At 37.0% G+C, this 22,238-nt stretch overlaps 1 annotated feature.

Moving 5' to 3' along the window:
• Window positions 5,892-6,525: an enhancer, noted in NCBI's record as "H3K4me1 hESC enhancer chr2:35616593-35617226 (GRCh37/hg19 assembly coordinates)". NCBI's record gives its function as "activates a minimal SCP1, AML or CMV promoter by ChIP-STARR-seq in primed H9 embryonic stem cells {active_cell/tissue: H9 hESC(primed)}" and the evidence as "EXISTENCE:reporter gene assay evidence [ECO:0000049][PMID:30033119]".

Genomic DNA, 22,238 nt, shown 5'->3' on the forward strand with positions numbered 1-22,238 from the left:
GCAGGAAATAAAGCAGTACATTTACCTCAAAGTGATATGTAGTAACTAGTGGCTGGCCATTATTCTTTCGGTAGTAACTAGAAGTATCTTGATAAATTACAAGAATCACATTTCTAAAAAACATCAGAGAGCTATGGAAACAAAAATGACTAGATAAAATGAAATCCTATAGAAGGAAGAACTATTCTTCACGGAGCTGAGATTGACAACCAGTTTCTCCTCTGGGGTCTTTGAGTGGCTGAGATTTGGGCTGAAATATGAGGACGGTTTAGCAGAGAATCTCTAGTGGAGGAAACTCCATCACCTTGTGGGGATGAAACTGTCTTGGAGCTTGACTGTAGTGATGGATATACAAATCAACACTGTGATTTAATTGCATAGAAGTGCACACATAATCACATGCACATAAGTAAATGTAAAACTAGGGAAATCTGAATAAGATAAATGGATTATATCACTATAAAATTTATTAGTTTTGATATTGTACTATAGTTGCTCATTTATAACCCACTGACCTTACTCCAGCCCATCTCGCTGTCCCCAGTCCCTGGCAATGACTAATTTTTCCTCCATCTATAATTTTGTCACAATATTTCTCCATTATAGTTTTTTATAATACTAAAACATTTTCTTTTATTTTATACCATAAATAAGCACAAAACATAATAAAATATAATGTTAGAAACTACTGTTCTTTTACTTGGTCTGCATTTGCATATTGGAATTTAATAAATTACTATACTCTATGTGCTTCTATTTTTATCCTATATCCAATGTGTTACGAGCATTATTATCCTCACCTATAGCTTTAACCACTACCAGGTCCTGGAAGTCCCTATAACTCTACCTTTACCGAGACACTTTCTTCTGAGGTCCTGACCTGTTTACCACATGGTCTAATGATCTCTTCATAGCTATTTCAAATACAACATATCCAAAATTGAATCTACCCTTCTCTGCTTTCTTCTCACCTCACATACCCCATACCCTATTTTCTACACATATAATATACATATATATATCTCTACATAGATAGATCTGCAGAAGTATGCAGATCTGTATATGGAATAGGGTATATGAGGTGTTTTATATATATATATATGAAATGAGGTATGTGAGTTGTACATATATATCCATATATATGTGAGTTATACAGATATATATTCATATATATGTATATGTATATGAATGTGAGGAGTGTGTGTATATATATATCTCCTCATGTACATGAGATATATATATATATATCTCCATACACACGGAGAGAGGCTCTAATGACTTCATGCCAAAGTATATGCCTTCAATCACTGTTATAGGTCCCAGTTTCTGTGAATTTTAAATATATCACTACTTGGACAGTAGCTCTAAGGATAATGTTAACTGTCCCTCATTGTATTAGTCCATTTTCACACTGCTGATAAAGACATACCCAAGACTGGGCAATTAACAAAAGAAAGAGGTTGAATGAACTCACAGTTCCACGTAGCTGTGGAGGCCTCACAATCATGGCGGGGGGTGAAAGGCACATCTCACATGACGGCAGACAGGGGCAGAGTGAGAGCCAAGTGAAGGGGGTTTCCCCTTATAAAACCATCAGATCTTGTGAGACTTATTCACTACCACAAGAACAGTGTGGGGGATACTGCCACCATGATTCAATTATCTCCCACTGCTTCTCCCCTGCAACACAAGGGAATTACAGGAGCTACAGTTCAAGATGAGATTTGGGTGGGGACACAGCCAAACCATATCACTCATCATCTTTCTTATTTTCCAGCACATTGCGGGAAAAGCTCACTTCTTTTATGACAAGTCCGTTATTTTACTCCCTATTTAATCTTTTATGTTTCTTATTGATAAAATATTAATAATATAAATTCCTACAAAAAGAAATAATTTTCATGGATTTTTAAAAATGTCATCCAGAAATGCATTTCCTTGCTCTGAGTGTGTATGGTTTGGGGTAGGATTACTATACCTTCCATTTTCTTTAAGACAACTGTCTCAGATGCACTGATGATTTGCTTTCAATAAGAGCCATCAATCCTGTGCTGACTTTACCTCACTTTTTTTTCCCTTAAAATTTTGCAGAAAGAGGGATATGAATAACTAAGAAAATGCTGTGTTTTATGTTGCAATTATGACGATTCAAGGAAAATTTGGGAAGGATGGAGGATTTCATGATTTGAAATAATAAATTACCACAGAATACTTAAGTATAGACAAGAGGGACTTTGGGAGGCTTTCAAATACTGTCCATTGACATGAGCACAGCGAGGTCAAGGACATTAAATACAAAATGTGAGAAAGTAAATAAATTTAACAGGGAAAAATGTCTTTTAAAAACTGAGTAAATGAAATTGAAGGGCTGGATGTGGTGGCTCACACCTGTCATCTCAGCACTTTGGGAGGCCAAGGCAGGAGGATCACTTGAGTTCAGGAGTTTAAGACGAGCCTGGGATCACTATTGTACTATAGTTGCTCATTTATAAACCATAGCAAAACCCCATCTCTACCAATAATAATAATACAAAATATTAGCTGGGCATGGTGGCACAAACCTGTGATCCGAAATACTTTGGAGGCTGAGGTGGGAGGATTGCTTTAGCCTAGGAGTGAAGTTTGCAGCGAGCAGTGAAAGTGGCTTTCAAAAAAAAAAAAAAAAAAAAAAAAAAGAGGAAAGAAATTGAGAACTCCTGTGGGCTAGATTTGCTTTGAGAAATACTGGACTCTCTACATATATTATTAAATATTATTTAAAATAGGAAGTCAAACTCTGTTTTTTGTATATATGAGAAAAAAGTCAAATCAGTAGTGGAAAATTTTATTAATATATGTATGTAATATTAAGAGGTAATGTAAAAGTAATTTAATAGGAAAAAAATTAGGCATTAAAAAATTGCCTAATATGAATGGTATAGTAATTAGACTGGCTGGGAACATTTTCTAAAAATTAAGATAAATATTAAACTCCGTAACTATAGGTGGAGAAGATTAACAACTTATCTAGTGTTTAAACAAATAGAAGATATTTTTTTAAAAACCAACAAAAATGGATTAAAAATAATTCAATAGAAATTATCTTGTCTGCCGTACTAAGATAATTACCCCCAATTTCTGAAATAATTTACTCTTCTAGCTTTACAATCACTGTTCTATCCATTATATTCTTTTATCTTAAAAACAATTATTTGAGCAAGTATTGGCAGTACTTTTTTTTCCTGGCTAAAATAGTGAAATCATTGCTAAATATCTATAATTATTTTTTATTAGATTTGTTCAGAAGGATGGCCAAACTGGCTATTATACTTGCTTTACTGGAAAGAAGCAAATATAAGTACATTCAATTTGTATATTATAGTACTATTGCTAAAACTTGTAATTGTTTTCATTTTAGATGTTTTTAAACATATTGTCATTTTATTTGTTAATTTCTTCCTAATTTAATATAATTATACATTAATTCATATGGAAATCGCCATGTGTAGGAAAGTACAGAAAAATAACAAAAATAAATGTGCTACTTCATGGCCCAGCTTGATGCTTCATTAAATGCAGAGTACACAAAATATGAAATAATAAGGTGGCTGAAAGTTGTATCACTCCTGTCAGAGACCAGGGTTTGAATTCTGCCTCCACCCAATTATGAATTGTGTGACCTCAATACATTTAATTAGCTTTTCTAAGCAACCACTTCATCATTTGTAAAATGTGGATAATATTTTTTCATTTACCTTACTCATTGCCATGGAACTTCCATTTACCTTAAGACAAATAACACCAAAAGACACACATACACACAAACTAGGAGGGATAACTTGCTATAATAGAAACTTCAGATTGCTGTGAGTGGCTAGTCACAGAGTTTTCTTTGAGGAGGTCACATTTATATGTTAGTTATTCTGTGAGTGCTATTTTTAATGAAGATTAGATCTACCTGCTGGGATGCCACAATACACATCCCTCATAAAGCTAAAGTTTAAAAAAAATGAACGAAGTTTTGTCAGTGTTTTGAAAGTTTAAAAGATTACTCAAAATAAGCTGTTTTATGGGATATTAACTTCCATTCTTCACAGTTTCTCTTTCACAGATTATGACTAACTTTAAAACTTTCAACTTCTGTTGCATTTTTTTCTGTCCTCTCTAGACACTGTTTTGTTTGTATTCCAACTGTCAAGTTTAACCTTGTTCTTAAACCTGTTGCTGAGCATGGTGGCTCAGGCCTTGTAATCCCAGCACTTCGGGAGGCCAAGGCAGGCAGATTGTTTGAGGCCAGGAGTTTGAGACCAGCCAGGGCAACATGGAAAAACTCTGTCTCCACAAAAAATACTAAAATTAACCAGACGTGTGTGGTGGTATGTGCCTGTAGTCTTAGCTACTTGGGAGGCTGAGGTAGGAGGATCACCTGACTCTGTGAGGTTGAGGCTGCAGGGAGCTGTGATTGCGCCACTGCACTCCAGCCTGGGCAACAGAGTGAGACTGTCAAAAATAATAATAATAACAAAAAAAATCCTTGAAAAAATGTAAATTGAGAATGTACAATGAGCAACTATTAAGATGATGGTAGAACTGTATATATTTTCAAAAGAGAGTCAATTACAGTAATTACGGGGTTTTTTGGAATAAGAAAAGAGAAAATTTTAGGCAAACTATAATTTTCAAAAGATTTGAGGAACTGGCCATATCAAAAAGCAGGTATATATATTTCCTGTTGCTTATAATTTAAAGAAAAGGCTGAAAATTGTATATTATTAAGTAGAAAAATTTAAGTCATTATTAGGAAAATGTTGTTAAATAAGTAAGAAGTTTAAAAATTGAATAAAGTAATTGAAAAAATATGAATATTCTACTGTTACAGATTCTCAACCAGAAAACACATAATATTATAAAAACTACTTGGTTAAAAAAATAGAGAACAAACTATACTCTGCAGAGGAGGTACAAAATGACTTCAATATTGACTCTTAACTGCAGTGACCTATATCTTCATTGATACTTTGCTACTTATATTCACTGTCTCAGTAAGTCCTCTTAACTGTATCTACATAATGCTTCATATTTTCCCTTTCTTTTGCCAAAGTATAATTGCAAAAAAATTAAAATGTGACTAATTTACAGAATGAATATATGTCAAATATTTATCTAAATTATTGAGGATACCAGTTGAATGAAAAAGTTAGTTTAAAGAAGAACTAAGAAAAATGTGTTTTATATATGCTACCAAAAGGGACATACTAAAACAAGTTTGCAAAATTAGAGGCATAATTAGTTAATGCCCTACAATACACTCTAACTTTGGAACTAAGTTTTTACGGAACAGGGATCATTTGCATCTCGATTGGCCGGGAGGGCAGCTCCAGGCACAGGCACAGTCAATAGCTCCGTGAAAACTTTGGTTGGATCCGATGCACCGCAAACAGCTGCTGCAGGCACCCGTGTCTGGACGAGGGTAACACAGTGGTGCCTGAAAGCTTGGAGATGCTAGAAACCACAGAGCCCCCAAAAGGGTGTCACATCCCTGGCTTGAGGAGCCCCTAGGTCTGGGCTCCCTGAATGGTTGCAGCCTGTTCTCTCCTTCTCATCGCCTGCAACTTCCTTGGGGGGTGTTGGGGAAGGGGGGTGGTTTCAACCCTGTTTGTGTTACAGTTCTTTCAGTCCCAGCAGCCATTCTGTGGGTCCTAAGTTTTTGTCCCGCATCCAGGGAGAATGAGGTATGCGGGCAGTTGGACGGTGAGCAAGGCAGAGAGAAGCTTTATTGAGGAAAGTAACAGCTCTCAGGAGACCCGAAGTGGGTAAATCCGTTCCTCAGGCAGGTCGTACAGACAAGTGTCCAGCTATCAGGAGAGAGGAAATCCAGAGTGGGTACCTCCTATCAGAAGGCAGGTGGTCCCAACCAGGGTCCAGCTCTCAGCAGACAGGACACCCATGGTGGATAGCTACTTTCTGCAGGCAGATCACCTGACCAGTCGAGGAGACCTGAAGTGGGTAGCTCCTTCCTGCAGCTGGTAGTTCCCCTATCTGTATGAGGCTGGTTGAGTAAGGGTTTTTATGGGCTCAGAAGGGAGGAAGTGCATGCTAACTGGTCCATGGGCGGCTATGGGTGGCCTGGGAAAAGCACCGTAAGTTCTCACTCCAGGCTGACGACTCCATCCGAACTGGCAGCCCAGCCCTCAGGCTGCAGGCTGTTCGTGGCTTGAAGGAGGGGTTTCACCAGGGACCTCTCCCTTCCCACCCAGGAGGCTGTCTGTCTCCTGCCAGCATCACCATGCCATCCACAGCACCCCTGCTGACTGCCCCGAGGGGTGCCACAGGCCCGTGTTGAGCTGCCCTCAGCACCTCCTTGGTCTTCCTCCCGTGCTTGTCGGTACCCAAAATCCAGAGGAGGCCGAGGCAGCAGGGGGCTGGTCTGTCAGTGCTGCCCTAAGCGCATGCTCACAACAGGCCAGGTCGCCACAGTGCCTGGGCTCAGCTACAACTTTGCTCTGCACCGGAGTGGGGACCATGAGAGGGAAAGAGGACAGGGAGGGGAAACAGAGACTGCAGGGGCAGGGGCTTCCCGGCCGCCTGGGGTGCAGGGATGCCCAGGTCTTGGAGCTGCAGCTGGGTGGCTGCAGTTGTGCCAGAGAGTATAGGGCTCCTGTCCCGCTGACTCAGTAGGGGACAGGAGCCTGTCCCTGGCCCCGCTGGCGCAGCAGAGCAAGCAGCCCCCCGGCCGCACCTCCCCCGCTGCAGCCGCATCTTTGCAGCAGCGGCTCCTGATGGGACAACACTGTCATGGCTACTACCCAGGTTAAAAACTCCAAAATGTAAAGCAAGCGAAATATTCTTCCGTGCATCTATGAGCCAAATCCTCTCCAAAGATTATCAGTATTCTGATTTTTATCACCTTTAATTATTTTTGCCTATTTTTCACTTCATATAAATGGAATTACAAGAATTATTCTGTTTTTTACTTTGTTTCCTTTGCTCAATATTTTCTCTATGAGACTCATGTGATTTCTTTTTTCTTCTTTTTTTTTTCTTTTTGGAGGCAGAGTCTCGCTCTGCCGCCCAGGCTGGAGTGCAATGGCGCGATCTCGGCTCACTGCAAACTCCACCTCCCGGGTTCAAGCGATTCTCCTGCCTCAGCCTCCCGAGTAGCTGGGACTACAGGCACGCGCCACCACGCCCAGCTAATTTTTTTGTATTTTTAGTAGAGACGGGCTTTCACGGTGTTAGCCAGGTTGGTCTCTATCTCCTGACCTCGTGATCCGCCGCCTCTGCCTCCCAAAGTGCTGGGATTATAGGCGTGAGCCACTGTGCCTGGCCGAGACTCATGTTATTTCTTATGATGATAATTCATTATTTTTAATGCTGCATGGTATTCCATTTTACACATAAATTTTATTGTTTTTGGACAGTTGTTTCTTGTTGGTGCTATGATAACGCTACTATGACTAATACATTGTTATTTTTGCTATAAATTGTCAATTATATTTTATAGATTTTTAATGGAAAAAAGTTTTATATTTATGTACATATTTGCTATTCATTCTCCTCGTCATTCTGTTGAGTAGGTCAGAGTTTTCCATGTGCTGTCTTTTTCCTTAAGTTTCCTCTGATAGTACTTACAGCGTGAGTCTGATGTCCACTAATTCTTTTAACTTTCATTTGTCTGAAAATGTTTCCAGTTAAGCTTTTGGAAGGATATTTTATATTGGACAGGGAATAATAGACTGAGGTTGTTTTGGATTTTTTTTTTTCTCACAGTACTTCACAGATACTGTTCCTTTGTTATTTGCCCTGCTTAGGGTCTACCTAGACATCAACGAATGCTTTTATCTTGATTTTTTTAAATGTCTGATTTGTCTGCTTTTATGCTTTTCTTGTTTTCATTAGTTTCCAGAAATCTAATTTTTATGAGCTTATGTGTGGTTTTCTTTGTATTTCTCCTGCTTGACTGTGGTTGAGTTTCACAAATCTGTGAGTTTATAATTTTTTAGTACATTTGAAAAACTTTTGTTGCTTTTTCAAACGCTACCTTTTTCTGGGACACAGACGTTAGGTCACTTGATGGTATCCTGTAGGTCAATGAAACTCTATTAATTATTTCTTAGCCTTTATTTCTATGTTTCATTTTAGGTCGTTTCTATTGCTAGGTCTTCAAGTTCACTTCCACAGTATCTACAAACTGCTGATAAACCTATTTAGTACATTTTTATTTCAGATATTATATATTTTAATACAATTCATTTTAGGTTTTGTTTTAGGTAGTTTCTATTGCTAGGTCTTCAACTTAACTTTCACAGTATCTACAAACTGCTGATAAACCTATTTAATAAATTTTTATTTCAGATATTATATATTTTAATACAATTCCATTTTTGGGTCTTTTTATAGTCCCCATATATCACATTGTTTTCATGTTGTCTTTTACACTTGATCTTAGCCAAAATGCTGAGAAGCTTTCATGTTTTCCTGTAAATCCTCAAGGATATTTATTAGAGTAGGTTTAAAGTTTTTTTTTTGTTTTGTTTTGTTTTTCTGCTAATTCCATCATCACTGTCATTTGTGTCTATTGCTTGACTTTCCTCATGTTATGGATCACATTTTGCCCTGCACCCCTATCTAGAGTTCTATTTTCATTGAATTCTGGACAATGAATATGTTACACTGTGGAGTATTTATATTCTGTCAGCTTCCTTTAGAGCGTGTTATTTTGGTAGACCATTATGTCACATTCAGATCAGCTTGATGTTTTCAAGGCATGATTTTAGACAGGATGTTTCTACAGTAGCCATTAGGCTGGAGATTATTTAGCATTACTAATCATTACGAATAAGGTACAAACCCAACACTGAATGTCCTGGGCATTCAGTGAAGTTTCTCTACTGTGGCTGGTAAGAGTTTGAACATTTCCCATGGCTGTGTGAGCTGTGAAGATTGTTCAGGTTGCAGTCCCCAGCACTTGTTCTTTTCCTGGCCTCATGGAGTTTCATCCTACATGTGAACAGCTTTGGATTCTGTGAAAGGCTTAAGAGTACCTGATGAAGACTTCTAGAACTCTTTCTATGTTAGCTCCCTATTCTCCAGTGATCTGCTCCACCACTTCTGTCAAACCCTCTTCTAAATTTTATTTCTGTCTCCTTAACTCAGCAAGACTGTCATGTTCCATTTGATTCCCTGTCTGTGATACAGGGTGCAGAAAATGCCTCAAGTAAGAAAACTGGGATAATCATAGGGCTCACCTTGGTTTTATTTATTTTTATTTTTTTGGTTTGTTTTCATTGTCTCAGAAACATTTTCTTTCACTGCCTATTGTCCCATATCTAAAAAGAGTTGTCTTATGTATTTTTGTCCAGTTTGCCAGTTGGCTGAAAGCTATTGGTTGTTTTAAACTCTTTGTTTGCTAACTCTAATAACTGTATTAACTGAGATTCTGCTCTTATTGACTTTTTCATCTTGATTACTCATATTTTTCTGTATATTGATATATCTCATATTTTTGTAGTATAATGGATATTAAGTACAAAATATCCAAAAGACTAAAAGGAATATTTTTCTTCCCTGGGAGAGTACACCATTTATTTTTTCTCTTTGGCAGATAGGGGAGAGTTTGGTCAACTCAAGCTAAACAAAAATGAACTAGTTAGAGGTTGAGTGGAAAATAAAGTTAGACTCTGTACACTTATTTTCCAGTAGTCTGAAGTGCAACATTTATCATGTACTTGTCGTAGAATCCTCCTTTAGCCAGGTTATCTCCCTCAAGTGCCAAGATGTCATCTGTCTAATTTACTTTATTGCTAAATGGGAAGAAATTTTATGACAAATGTTGACTGGTGCTAATACTGATGATTATCAAGACATTTAAAGATCAACAAGGCCTAAGGAATTACCAATATGTTTATTATATATAATGTATAAGATAATACAGGCCGGGCGCGGTGGCTCACGCCTGTAATCCCAGCACTTTCGGAGGCCGAGGCAGGCGGATCACGAGGTCAGGAGATCGAGACCATCTTGGCTAACACGGTGAAACCCCGTCTCTACTAAAAATACAAAAAATTAGCCCGGCGCAGTGGCAGGCGCCTATAGTCCCAGCTACTCGGGAGGCTGAGGCAGGAGAATGGCGTGAACTCGGGAGGCGGAGCTTGCAGTGAGCCTAGATAGCGCCACTGCAGTCCGGCCTGGGTGAAAGAGTGAGACTGCGTCTCAAAAAAAAAAAAAAAAAAAAAAAGATAATACATAAGGAATCTGTATACTGTGGATAAGAGCCTGTGACATTCACAATGCATATGTCATCCAATTATCAGCCCTCATAATAACTTTATAGAGTATTTACTATTTTTTAGGTTTCAGTATGCTTACATTGTTTTTTCTCTTGATAGAATTTGTATTTCCGCTAAGGTTGTCCTAAGTTTTTTTTTTTTTTTTTGAGACGGAGTCTCGCTTTTTCGCCCAGGCTGGAGTGCAGTGGCGCAATCTTGGCTCACTGCAAGCTCCGCCTCCCAGGTTCACGCCATTCTCCTGCTTCAGCCTCCCGAGTAGCTGGGACTACAGGCACCCGCCACCACTCCCTGCTAATTTTTTTGTATTTTTCTTTTTTTAGTAGAGATGGGGTTTCATTGTGTTAACCAGGTTGGTCTGGATCTCCTGACCTCGTGATCCGCCCGCCTCAGCCTCCCAAAGTGCTGGGATTACAGGCGTGAGCTAACGCGCCGGGCCAGTTGTCCTAAATGTAATATGTTAACGGACAGGCTCTATTGCCTGATAGTAAGAATTGCTTGCATTAGTAAGCCTTTTAATACTTCTCAATTCACTCTCTGTAAATGGTTCCTATTCTTATTCTAAGTAATGGTCCTCAACCTTGGATTCACATCAGAATTACATGAGTAGCATTTTAAATCCTGATGTCTGTGCCACAAATATAACCAAGTATATAACAATCCTTGGGGGATCAGTAGTTTTAAAAGATTCTCAGGTGATTCCAATCTGCAGTAGAGGTTGAAAACACAAAACATTGTCCTAAACTTTCTTTTGTTCCTGTAGCTAATTTATATTTATATAGAATATGATTATTTCAGAAGCCATTGATAAACTTACTTTAAAGATTTGTTCCGATTCTGTGTATTGATTTGTCTCTCTAGAACTTTATACATGACCAGGATTTTGTGTATATTTATTTGCATGTGTTTGTCAATAAAAAGTTACTACTTTTTCACAGGTTACATATTGATCCCTGCACAGGATTGAAATTCATTGTCTTTGGGTTGAGTTATTTTTTCTTTTTATTCTTCTCCTGCTACCCCTGGTAAAATGTGCTGCATATTTTAGTAATTTATTTTATCATAAACTTAAGAATCTTTCTTACTTTTTAAAATTTACACCACATAGATTGTTTTTGCTGAATTCTCACTTGTTGAGAAAATTCCAAGGCTAGGTTTACAGACTTCTATGCTGGCATTTCCCAGTATATAAGAAAACAATTAGAGGACATGATACAAGGTCCATAAGTGTGATTCAGTGGCAATTATCCTGAAAACAGAATCTCTGAAGTAGATGGCATTCTAAATCCCTCAAGTATTAATAATAATAATCATAATTCTCAGATACAATCCTGCATTTTTCCTCTCTACTTCTTTCTAAACTGTACGTTTTTTACCATTATTTTATCAGAGTTGTCTCATGATACTGATTGAATTTCCTTCCTTTCACTTCAGATATCTTTAGATTTGGAATATCTTTAACTCATGATTATTTGTATTTCCAGAGTCATGATCTCTTTTTGGTCTTATGGTGAGGTAAGTATGCCGTATGTAATGATTTTCGAGTTTGAAAGATCACAAATTTCTTAAATACTCTGACTCAAGTTCAAGTAATTCTGAGAGCATGCTTGAAGAAATAGGACTTTTAGTGAGAAGCATTCATTAGGAGTAGCAGAGCTGAGAACTGGGAAGAAGTAGAGAAAATGTGACATCCGGCTGTCTCTAAAGAAAAGGTATTTAATTATTGGAGGTTAATAATTTACTTGTAGTTTTTTCTTCTATACTTCGTAGTATAGAAGTATATTTGCAAGTGAACAATTTTCTTCATTTGGCATTCCCTTCAATGTTTGGGTGAACATTCTGCACGTTCTCATATGTGCTTCAAAATATGGTGTTTAAAACTGAACAAAATAAGCATTTTTATAATCATTAATAATATAATGTTATCATATTATTAATCATACTAGTGTGATGTGCTGCCAAATGATGATTGTGTGAGATCTTAATGTCAGCTTCTATTTGTATTTTCAAAGCTCCATTGCCAAGATACAGTTCTTCATGGGAGCTCTCATATTTCTGCATGCCGAGCAAGCAAAAACTGTAATTGCCCTTTTTGTCCAGAGTTCCCTTCCTTCCTTTCCTTTCTCTTTCTTTCTTTCTTTCTTTCTTTTTTTGAGATGGAGTCTCCCAGGCTGGAGTGCAGTGGCAGTGACATGATCTCAGCTCACTGCAACCTCTGCCTCCCAGGTTCAAGTGATTCTTGTCCCTCAGCCTCCCGGGTAGCTGGGATTACAGGCGACCGCCACCACGCCTGGCTATTGTATTTTTAGTACAGATAGGGTTTCACCATGTTGGCCAGGCTGGTATTGAACTCCTGACCTCAAGTAATCCACCCTCCTCGGCCTCCTAAAGTGCTGGGATTACAGGCATGAGCCACCACCCTGAGCCAGAGTACTCTTTCAGGGATGTATGTATAGCAAATATCCTTTGAAGATATTCTGTCTGAATCCACATCCAGGAGCAGGTTTGTTTACTGTACATGATAAACCTCAGAATTTCTCTCCTGTAATGCAGCTCATTGAATGTGGAGATGTAGCCTGGCTCTCTTTACATCATCCTGTGAGAACTGGAGTTTGGGAAACTGTTAAAAATAATGACATTCTGGTCATTGCTACTGATGAGTAATAAACTAACCTTTATCTTTGATCTGGGTGTCTCTTGTCTTCTGCCAGTCCATAAAACTGTCAGGCTAACTTCTTGCTTGCAAATAGGAAAAGATATCAGAAACTATTTTTTCAGTTTTTGACACTCTTAACTTTACACATAGTCTTATTTTTAACTCTAGTTATTTTTCATAAATTTTCATGGGAAGTACGATGTGGTGATGATTCTTTACATCTTATGTGTGGGAGACTGATTGTTTTGACAACTGTTAACTTACTTCAGTAAAATCTCATCTTATGATTTTAGTCTGTAGTTTTATTCCACACATTTAGAAGGTTTTTCTTTTTTTCATTTATAATATGTGCACTATCTCTCAACATTTTGGCATTGACAAATATAAAATTCATATTTAACAAAACGAGTTGAGACATGACTGAGGAGAGAAAGCAGGCCTAAGGCTTGCCACTCAAAAACTTTCTTAGGGATAACAAAAAAATAAATGGATAATCTTCAGATGTGCCTGTCAAACTAGCAACAAAAGCCTCACCCAGTGTCATCAACTGCTTTTTATGATAATCTCTATCAATTTGTCATGTAAAACATTTCTACTGAAGTTAAGATACAATATTTCTAATTCATTCCCTTCATTTGGAAGTTTAATACCCCTGTTGTGAAAGGAAAATGAGGTTATTTTGCTATGCTTTGTCCTTATTGAACTCTTTTTTGCCTCAGCGTTCACATCTTTCGATGCTAAACATGACTAAACATCTGTTTGAAAATAGAGTACACTGCTTTACAGTGTTTAGAAAACATATATTCTCTTTTAGAAAAAGGAAAAAAGTATCCAAATGTCCTTATTATTCTGGCTCCTTCTTTTTCCATATGTGCCAGATATTTTGGTGAGTAATCAGATTGTAGCAGTACATTAAACCTCCAAACAACTCAATGCAATAAGTACAGTCACCATTTTTTATTTCCCAGATTAGGAAATTATTTTCTATGACAATGGAAAAATTTGCCATGGTAATACAACTACCAAGTGGTTCATGTGGGTTTTGGTATAGACATTCTGAGAAAAGAACCCATCCTCTTAACTACATAATTGTCACCACCATATTTTTTCTATTAGCCAGTTATACAGATGCATAATTCCTGCTCCTCCTGGACCATAGCAACATTCCTCCTGTCCTCTCTGTTTTCATTCTACCAAACTGTTTTGGAGGAATCAAATTCAAAGATTTCTTTCCAGGCAAATTATCTGTTCTGCTTATAATGCTAGCTTCTATTTCATATAATAAGATGTGCAATATGTAATTTAATGTGTAATATACAATATCATACAGTAGAGGTAAAATGTCATTATGCATTTGTTATCCCTTGATGTGACAAACTGCCCCACAATTGGGGCGTGGCTTAGCTGGGGGCTTGCTCAGTTTCTTTCACAAGGCTGCATCAAGGTGTCCACTAGGATTGCAATCATCTCAAGTTTGAGCTGTGGTAGAATTCACTTCCAGGTTCATTTGTGGAAGGCTTCAAGTCCTCATTGAATTTTGTATAAAGTTATCTCTAAAAAATCTAATTTGATGCCTTTTAAATTATTTTAATAGTCCTTCATAAACCACATTAGGTAAATTTAATGGAACAACTATTTGTAATATGCCATCTACCACAAATGTATTCTTTTTCATTTCCATAGATTTGGGAAACAAGTGGGATTTGCTTACATGACTAAGTTCTTGAGTGGTGATTTGTGAGATTTTGGTCACCCATCACCCGAGCAGTATACACTGAACTCAATTCATAGTATTTTATCCCTCACCCCCTTCCCACCCTTTACCCCAGAGTCCCCAAAGTCCACTGTATAATTCTTATGCTTTTGCATTCTCATAGCTTAGCTCCCACTTATAAGTGAGAACACACAATGTTTGTTTTTTCATTCCTGAGTTACTTCACTTAGAATAATTGTCTCCAATCCCATCCAGGTTGTGTGAATGCCATTAATTCATTACTTTTTATGGCTGAGTAGTATTCCATCATATATGTATATCACAGTTTCTTTATCCACTCATTGATTTGGGCATTTGGACTGGTTCCACATTTCTGCAATTGTGAACTGTGCTGCTATAAACATACGTGTGCATGTAACTTTTTCGTATAATGACTTCTTTTCCTCTGGGTAGATATCCAGTAGTGGGATTGCTGGATGAAATGGTACTTCTACTTTTAGTATTTTAAGAAATCTTCACACTGTTTTCCATAGTGGTTGTACTATTTTACATTTCTCCCAGAAGTGCAGAAGTTCCCTTTTCACTGCATCCACGCCAATATCTGTTATTTTTTTATTTTTTCTTTATGGCCATTCTTGCGGGAGTAACATGGTATTGAATTGTGGTTTTGATTTGTATTTCCCTGATGATTAGTTATGCAAAAACACAGATCTGGCTTCAAAGTACTGATAGTCAAAGATAGTAAGTAAAACAGGTGCACAGATAATTATAATATTAAGCAGATTTTAAGCATTACCATAAAAACTGTATACTTGAAATAGTAGTTTAAAAGAATTATTTCCCTTTTGAGGGAACTAGAAAAAGATACCCTATCTGTAATGGATAGGCATTGCACTGGATGTGATTGAGTGTACTGGTCAAACCCTACCCATTTATCTTCTGCTCTTCTATAACTTTTTCTTTCCCTATTTATTCTTTAGATTTCAATATTTAATCTGTAATATTTGTCTGTAATATTAAATCAATAATTTTTCTGGACTTAGAATATTTGTTGAAACAGTGGACTGACTTAATCCAACTGTAATGCATTCTGACTAATTATTAATGTACAAGTATACTTTTTTAAATAAATATGCCTATAGCCATTTAAAATCTCCATTTTAATGAGTGATTATGCTTTTGCCATTGAGATTGTTAATAAACTAAAAATTAAAAACTGTGGCTTGCTTAGAGCACTGCAAATTATTATATAGCACCTATTTTATTATACAATATTATAAATCACTATGATAATGAAGTTATACATATACTATATTTATTTTTGCACTCTTAGTACTTAGACTGTGACTAAACCAAGTAGATGCTTTTAAATAATTAGAAAAAGACACAAAATATTATTAAAGCAATTTTGGAATATATTTAAATAAAGAGCTTATTTACTGAACAATAAAAAGGCTTTAAAATTTATTTTTACAGAATAAACACAAAATTTTGAGATTTTCTTGGGAAACAAAAGGCCACAGTTGAAATTTTCAGTTTGTCATCCATCTGACTCTTGTTAGCACCTAACACCCACCTAGTAACATAGAAAGAACTGAAAAATATTTGGGTTCCAAGGTCATGGCCTCTGACTCTACAGTAATAACACACTGAAGAGGCATTATGTATAATAGTCAACAGCACATCCAATGCAGTCTTCCAGAATCCAACCCCAGTTCCAATGGTTATTAACTTTTTTGGCCTTGGACAAGTCATACCGCCTACCAAGCCTCATTTATCATACTTATAAGAAGCTACTCCTAATGCTATATGAAACAAGATGTGCAAAGTTCTTAGCAAACTATTCAGGACACGAAAAACACTTAGTATACGTTAACTGCTATAATTAGCCATAAATAAGGTACTTTGTGTGTATCTGGTGACCCATGCCTTTCCATCACACGTTGTTTATCCCCAAAGGCATATTTTGACTCGAAGAGAATAAAATGTATATGTCACGCTAAAGAAGACCACCTTCATAAATATTAAAGTATTGCTTACAACAGTATATTCTGTGTTATCTAGTGCTGTATGAGGTATAATTGCCACATTTTCAACCCTTTACAAACATAAATGCATGTGATAATTATTTTTTGGTATAAAGGTATGTATTTAGTGTGCCTACAAATACCGAATTATCATTCAGTGAGGTTCAATTTATGAAGAGCTCAGTTCACAATTTCTTCTATACCTCTGCTTTCATTCTTCAGGTGGCTGGCCTTATGAATCATATATCAGATGCTATGTGGCCCTATAATTGCTGGATGGCCTGGTTCACCAACAATTCAAATTAAGATGAAGCAGCCTAAGAATTAAGAGAATGAATTGATTTGACGGTACTCTATTAAATCAATTTAGGCTACTATAAAAGTACTTGTAAAAGAATTATCAGTATTTTATGGTTGCTAGAATTCTATGACCAGTATCTCTTGAGAAAATCGTAATGTCCTCTATATCAATGTATAAGTCTGTATGATATCCCAAATTCTGTTTCTGCCGCTTTCAACTTAGAGGCTGCAGGCTTGCTTTCGGTGAAAATACACAGAATATAAAGCTTTCCCTGTGTAGGATTCTCAAGGAGTGCACCTTTTAGATAAATAAGGGGTTTTGCTCTAGTCTATTTTATTTTTGCAGGGGTTCAATAAAGGTTTTCTGAAATATTCTGTTTCTATTCCTACTAAAAATGGCTACACACTAAATCTAAATTATAGATTTAGTGGAGATGGTAGATTTCAATCATGTAGGTTGCAAACTCAAATGTCAATAACGTCTAGGTAGGTAAGGTCCATGATTAAATATCTCTCTTTAAATTATTTTTTGCCTCATTTGAAAACGGGTGAGGGAGCACTGCTCTTCAGCTCCTTTCAGGTGTTACCATAGAGAATGTGGGCCCAGTTTTCTCAGAGAGATATCTGAAGATATACTATAATTCCAGATTTTTAAATGTTGTCTAACAAAACAAAAGGATACATTTTGTCAGGTTTTTCTTTTTGCTGTTGCTATTTTTCCTATGAGCTTTTCTAAAGCAAATCGTCTTCCAGCCATGTAAAAATGATGCTGGTTAATAAGACTTCATTGCAATGAATTGATGTTCCTATCAGTTTCAAGATTGGCATGACAGATGTTGTTTCTCTGAACTCCTCGCTCCCACACTCCTGGTTGATACCTCGAACAATACAACCTCAAGAAATGGCTATGTAGTCATTATATATAGAAGACTTGTTAATAAACATATGCAAATATATCATTTAAGACATGAATGTAAGGAAAAAGCAATTTAAAATAGATCATTTTCAAAGAATCTGAATTTCAAAACCTTACTAGAAAACAAATATGGCAGAAAAAATAAAAAAGAATTCCAGGGCTTAGACAAGACAGATAATGTCTTATCTCTCGAAGGTAAGTTCTTCTAGCAGAGGTTGGAGATTAATTAATATTTAGAAAGGATTATAAAAATATGCCAAAAACTTAAAGCAAGGTTTTCAGCATTGCATATGAGGGCCATGAGAATTTGGTTTCTTGGTGGCACATAATTAGCAACCCAAACTGCCTTCCAGTTCACTAAAATAATATACTGCTCTTCTCTAAATGCGCTATGATGACAGACCATCAGAATAAAAGAACATTTGGGGTCCATTCACTTATTTAATAAGCATATAATGAATGGGCCAAACACTGGACTAGGTGCTGAAAATATACCTGTGAGCCGTTTGCCCACCACACAAACATACACCAAAAGGATCTCCACCTTTGAAATAGTTAAATCTGAAACAAAGCATAATTGTGGCCTGGTTCACCATATAAAGACGATTTGTCTTTATGTCTTCTTTCTGGGAATTCAGCTTTGGAAATTATACTGGCTTTTTTTTAACCTGAGAACCCTTTTACCTGAGCTATAGCTCAACTTTGTAGATATCTAACACCAAATACAGCATTCTTTTTCTTCTAAATTTATACAGATAATTGACTAAATTCAGGAATTTATTAGTGATATAGCAAGGTATACCCATCAAGAGTAAGACTGTTTTAAGAGGGTAGGATTGGGTATAGTGATTGTGGAGAGCTTCTTCCAGAATCTTAGCTCCTCTGGAGATCTAATAGTTCAAGAAATGCAAAGTCTAGATAGATAGATGGGTTTCTTCTGACTTGTTTAAAGATCATCTTTCTGTGTACTATGTTGAAATATGTTGAAAATAAACTACAGGGGCCAAGCATGGATAAGAAAGTCCAGTTAGGATTTTGCATTAATCCAGGTGAGATATATGCAGTTTCCAAAAGTTTTGTAGCAGTGGAAGTGGTTGAAAAATTACAGAATTTGCTAATGTATTGCATGTGGACCACGAGGGAATGACAGGAGTAAGGGATGATCCAAAACTTTTAGCCTGAGAAACTGGAACTTGTGGAGAGAGAAGGAATTAGTTCAGGGCATGTTAAGTTGAGATGCTTATTAGACTTCCAAATTAAAAGGTCCAGTAGGCAGAAGTCAAACAAGCCTGGATTTGAGGGAACTGGTCTGGACTGGAAATATAAATTTGGCCCACAACAGGATTTCTCATATGTTTATTGAATCAGTAAATGAATATCCATACAGAGATAAGTTAATTCTGTAGTAACATATTCAATATTGCATAGTAAATAATAATGTAGCTGTGTGCCAAGATACTGATGATGTTGTTATGTTTTCAGAAGCTGGCTGGGAGGGTTTTAAAGACAATATAATGGGGAATCTGTCTGGACTATGAGCAGGAAGTGAATCTTTTAAATCTCTGATTCTAGCCTTGGGATACATTCTGAAAGTTGGGATTAATGAGTACAATTGTTTGTGAAGTACACTACCAATATGATTTCTAACAAAGGATGTATCGGTTTATATTCCCACTAGGATAGTACTCAAGTTCTATTTTCACCTTGCATAGGATCGAGTTTTATTATTGCTTTGGCTCATTTATCACTAAATTGACAATGAAAATTATTCATTAAGAGGTGATAAGGGCACTTTCTTTACTGTAAATACTCGTCAGATGTGGATAATATATATCTTAGCTCTGGCTGCCATAACAAAATACCATAGACTGAGTGGCTTAAATAACAGAAATGTATGCGTCACAGTTCTAGAGTCTGGATGTCAAGATCATGGTGCCCCCCAGTTAGGTTCCTTGCAAATGCACTCTTCCTGGCTTGCATGGTCATCTTCTCACTATGTCCTCCTCACTTGGCCCTTCCTCAGTGCTTGCACACAGCGAAAGAGAGAGATCTTTCTTTCTCTTCTTTTTGTCCTAAAGTCACTAGACCCATCATTAAGACCCACCCTCATGATGTAACCCAAACTTAATTACCCCCTGGAAGGCACTACCTTCAAATAACATCACACGGGGAAACAACTTTAGTGTATGGAATTTTTTTGGGGGGACACCAACATTTATCCCATAACAATATACAAACCTAAAAAATAAAAATTCATGGGTGTCCAGAATAAAAAGATGAACAAATTCTAATGTAATACAAGGAGAGAAATGCAAAAAGATAAAGATGACTACAGTATGATCATGTTGACCTCTAACCAGAATTAGGCAGAGGGAATGGAATCAGTACCAGAAGGGAAGTCAGGGATTTAGAGAGCCTCATAAAGAATGCCTTGCTCTGAAGCTTCTTCCCATATATTTGTAGAAAGGTTAGGAAAAGCCTGTGATTCGTTGCAGTCTGAGGATATGGCTTATTTAAAGCTCCTTACCCAGGAAGGTGGGAAGAAGCAGAGTCTTAAATCCAGGAGCAGGAACACGATACACTTCTTCCCACCTTCCTGGGTAAGAAGTTTTAAATAAATTCTCTCACGTGTTTCCCTTTTCTCATTAGCTTACTGGGTTTTTTGTTTTGTTTTGTTTTGTTTTGTTTCCCTCTGAATTACTTGTTTTCCAGAAAACTAACTTTACGAAAACTACTTGAGATATGAGATAAAGTTAATTTCTTCCAGAAATTTGCACTTTTTCTTCCAGGAGACAGAGGATATCAGAGCTAGGTCATGTTAAAGTGATTTCTTCCCTTGAATGTTTATACAGCACCACATGATATGTACTTGGGCCACAAATTGGGGGAAGACTCAACTGTTTTTCCAACTTCTTATGGTATTCTTTCCCTCCTTCTGTTCTTTTTTTTTTTTTGGATACTTGCTCTGTCGCCCAGGTTGGAGTGCAGTAACGCGATCTCGGCTCACTGCAACCTCCACCTTCTGAGTTCAAGCAATTCTCCTGCCTCAGCCTCCCAAGTAGCTGGGATTACAGTAGCCCACCACCACGCCTGGCTAATTTTTGCATTTTTAGTAGAGACGGGGTTTCACCGTGTTGGCCAGGCTGGTTTCAAACTCCTGACCTCAAGTGATTCACCTGCCTCTGCCTCCCAAAGTGCTAGGATTACAGGCGTGAGCCACTGCACCTAGTCTAATTCTGTTCTTTTTAATAACTAGATTTGAAATAACAAATTTTTCTTTTGTTAGCATCTGTAACGAAATTATTTATGTATTTGTTTTTGAGACAGAGTCTCACTTTGTTGCCCAGACTGGAGTGCAGTGGCACAATCTCAGCTCACTGCCACCTCTGTCTCTCGGGTTCAAGCGATTCTCCTACCTCAGCCTCCAGAGTAGCTGGGATTACAGGCCACCACCATCATGCCTGGCTACTTTTCATCTTTTTAGTAGAGATGGGGTTTCAGCATGTTGGCCAGGCTCATCTCGAACTCGTGACCTTAGGTTATCAGACCAGCTCATCCTCCCAAAGTGCTGGATTACAGTCGTGAGCCACCATGCCTGGCCTGTTTTTGTTTTTCTTATACTAATTTTGTAAATTTTGTATTTCCAGCTTCTTGGATCAAGACACTCACCAGATTCTCCAACTTGGGTGGACCTTCTTGTTTCCTCTGTGCTCTGAGACAATAAAAAACAAAACTCAAAGTCATGATTGTTTAGCACATAGCCTTAGAGTGACAAACTTGACCTAAGTTTCTACTTACCTAGCTCAGTTCCTGTCTTCACTTATCTTTTGATCTCAGAATTGCTTTCTTTCCTGCTAGCTCATTAATACAGTGAAAAGACTTTTAAAAAATTGTACCTTAGATTTTAGTTGATGCCAGTGGGACAATCCAGGTACATAGCCCACTATATTACTAAAACTGAATCCTGAGTTGAGAAGGAGAAAATAAATCTTTTAGTATCTGTCTGAACATTTCCCTTAGAGATCAAGATTGTAGCCTAGTTTCCCTTTGGGAAAGGAACAATGACAACCTTTTAATTTTTTATTCTTGTGGTCCGTTAAGCTTACCAACAACTCAATTAAAGATAAATATATAAAAAACAATTTAAAAAACATACTATGATGATGATGACAATGTTGATAAAAGTAGTAAATCTCAAACCAAATAGGAAACTTTTTCATTGTAATCACTTTTAATAAACATATAGTAATATATGGTTTATAACCACTGTAATAAGTACACGTGTTTTGATGGATTTTTAACATACTTGAAATGCGTAAGTGCTATTTTCAACATACAAGTATAGTTCAGTTTTCAGAAA

This window comes from Homo sapiens, chromosome 2 (assembly GCF_000001405.40).
Source record: "Homo sapiens chromosome 2, GRCh38.p14 Primary Assembly".
Taxonomy (NCBI): Eukaryota; Metazoa; Chordata; class Mammalia; order Primates; family Hominidae; genus Homo; species Homo sapiens.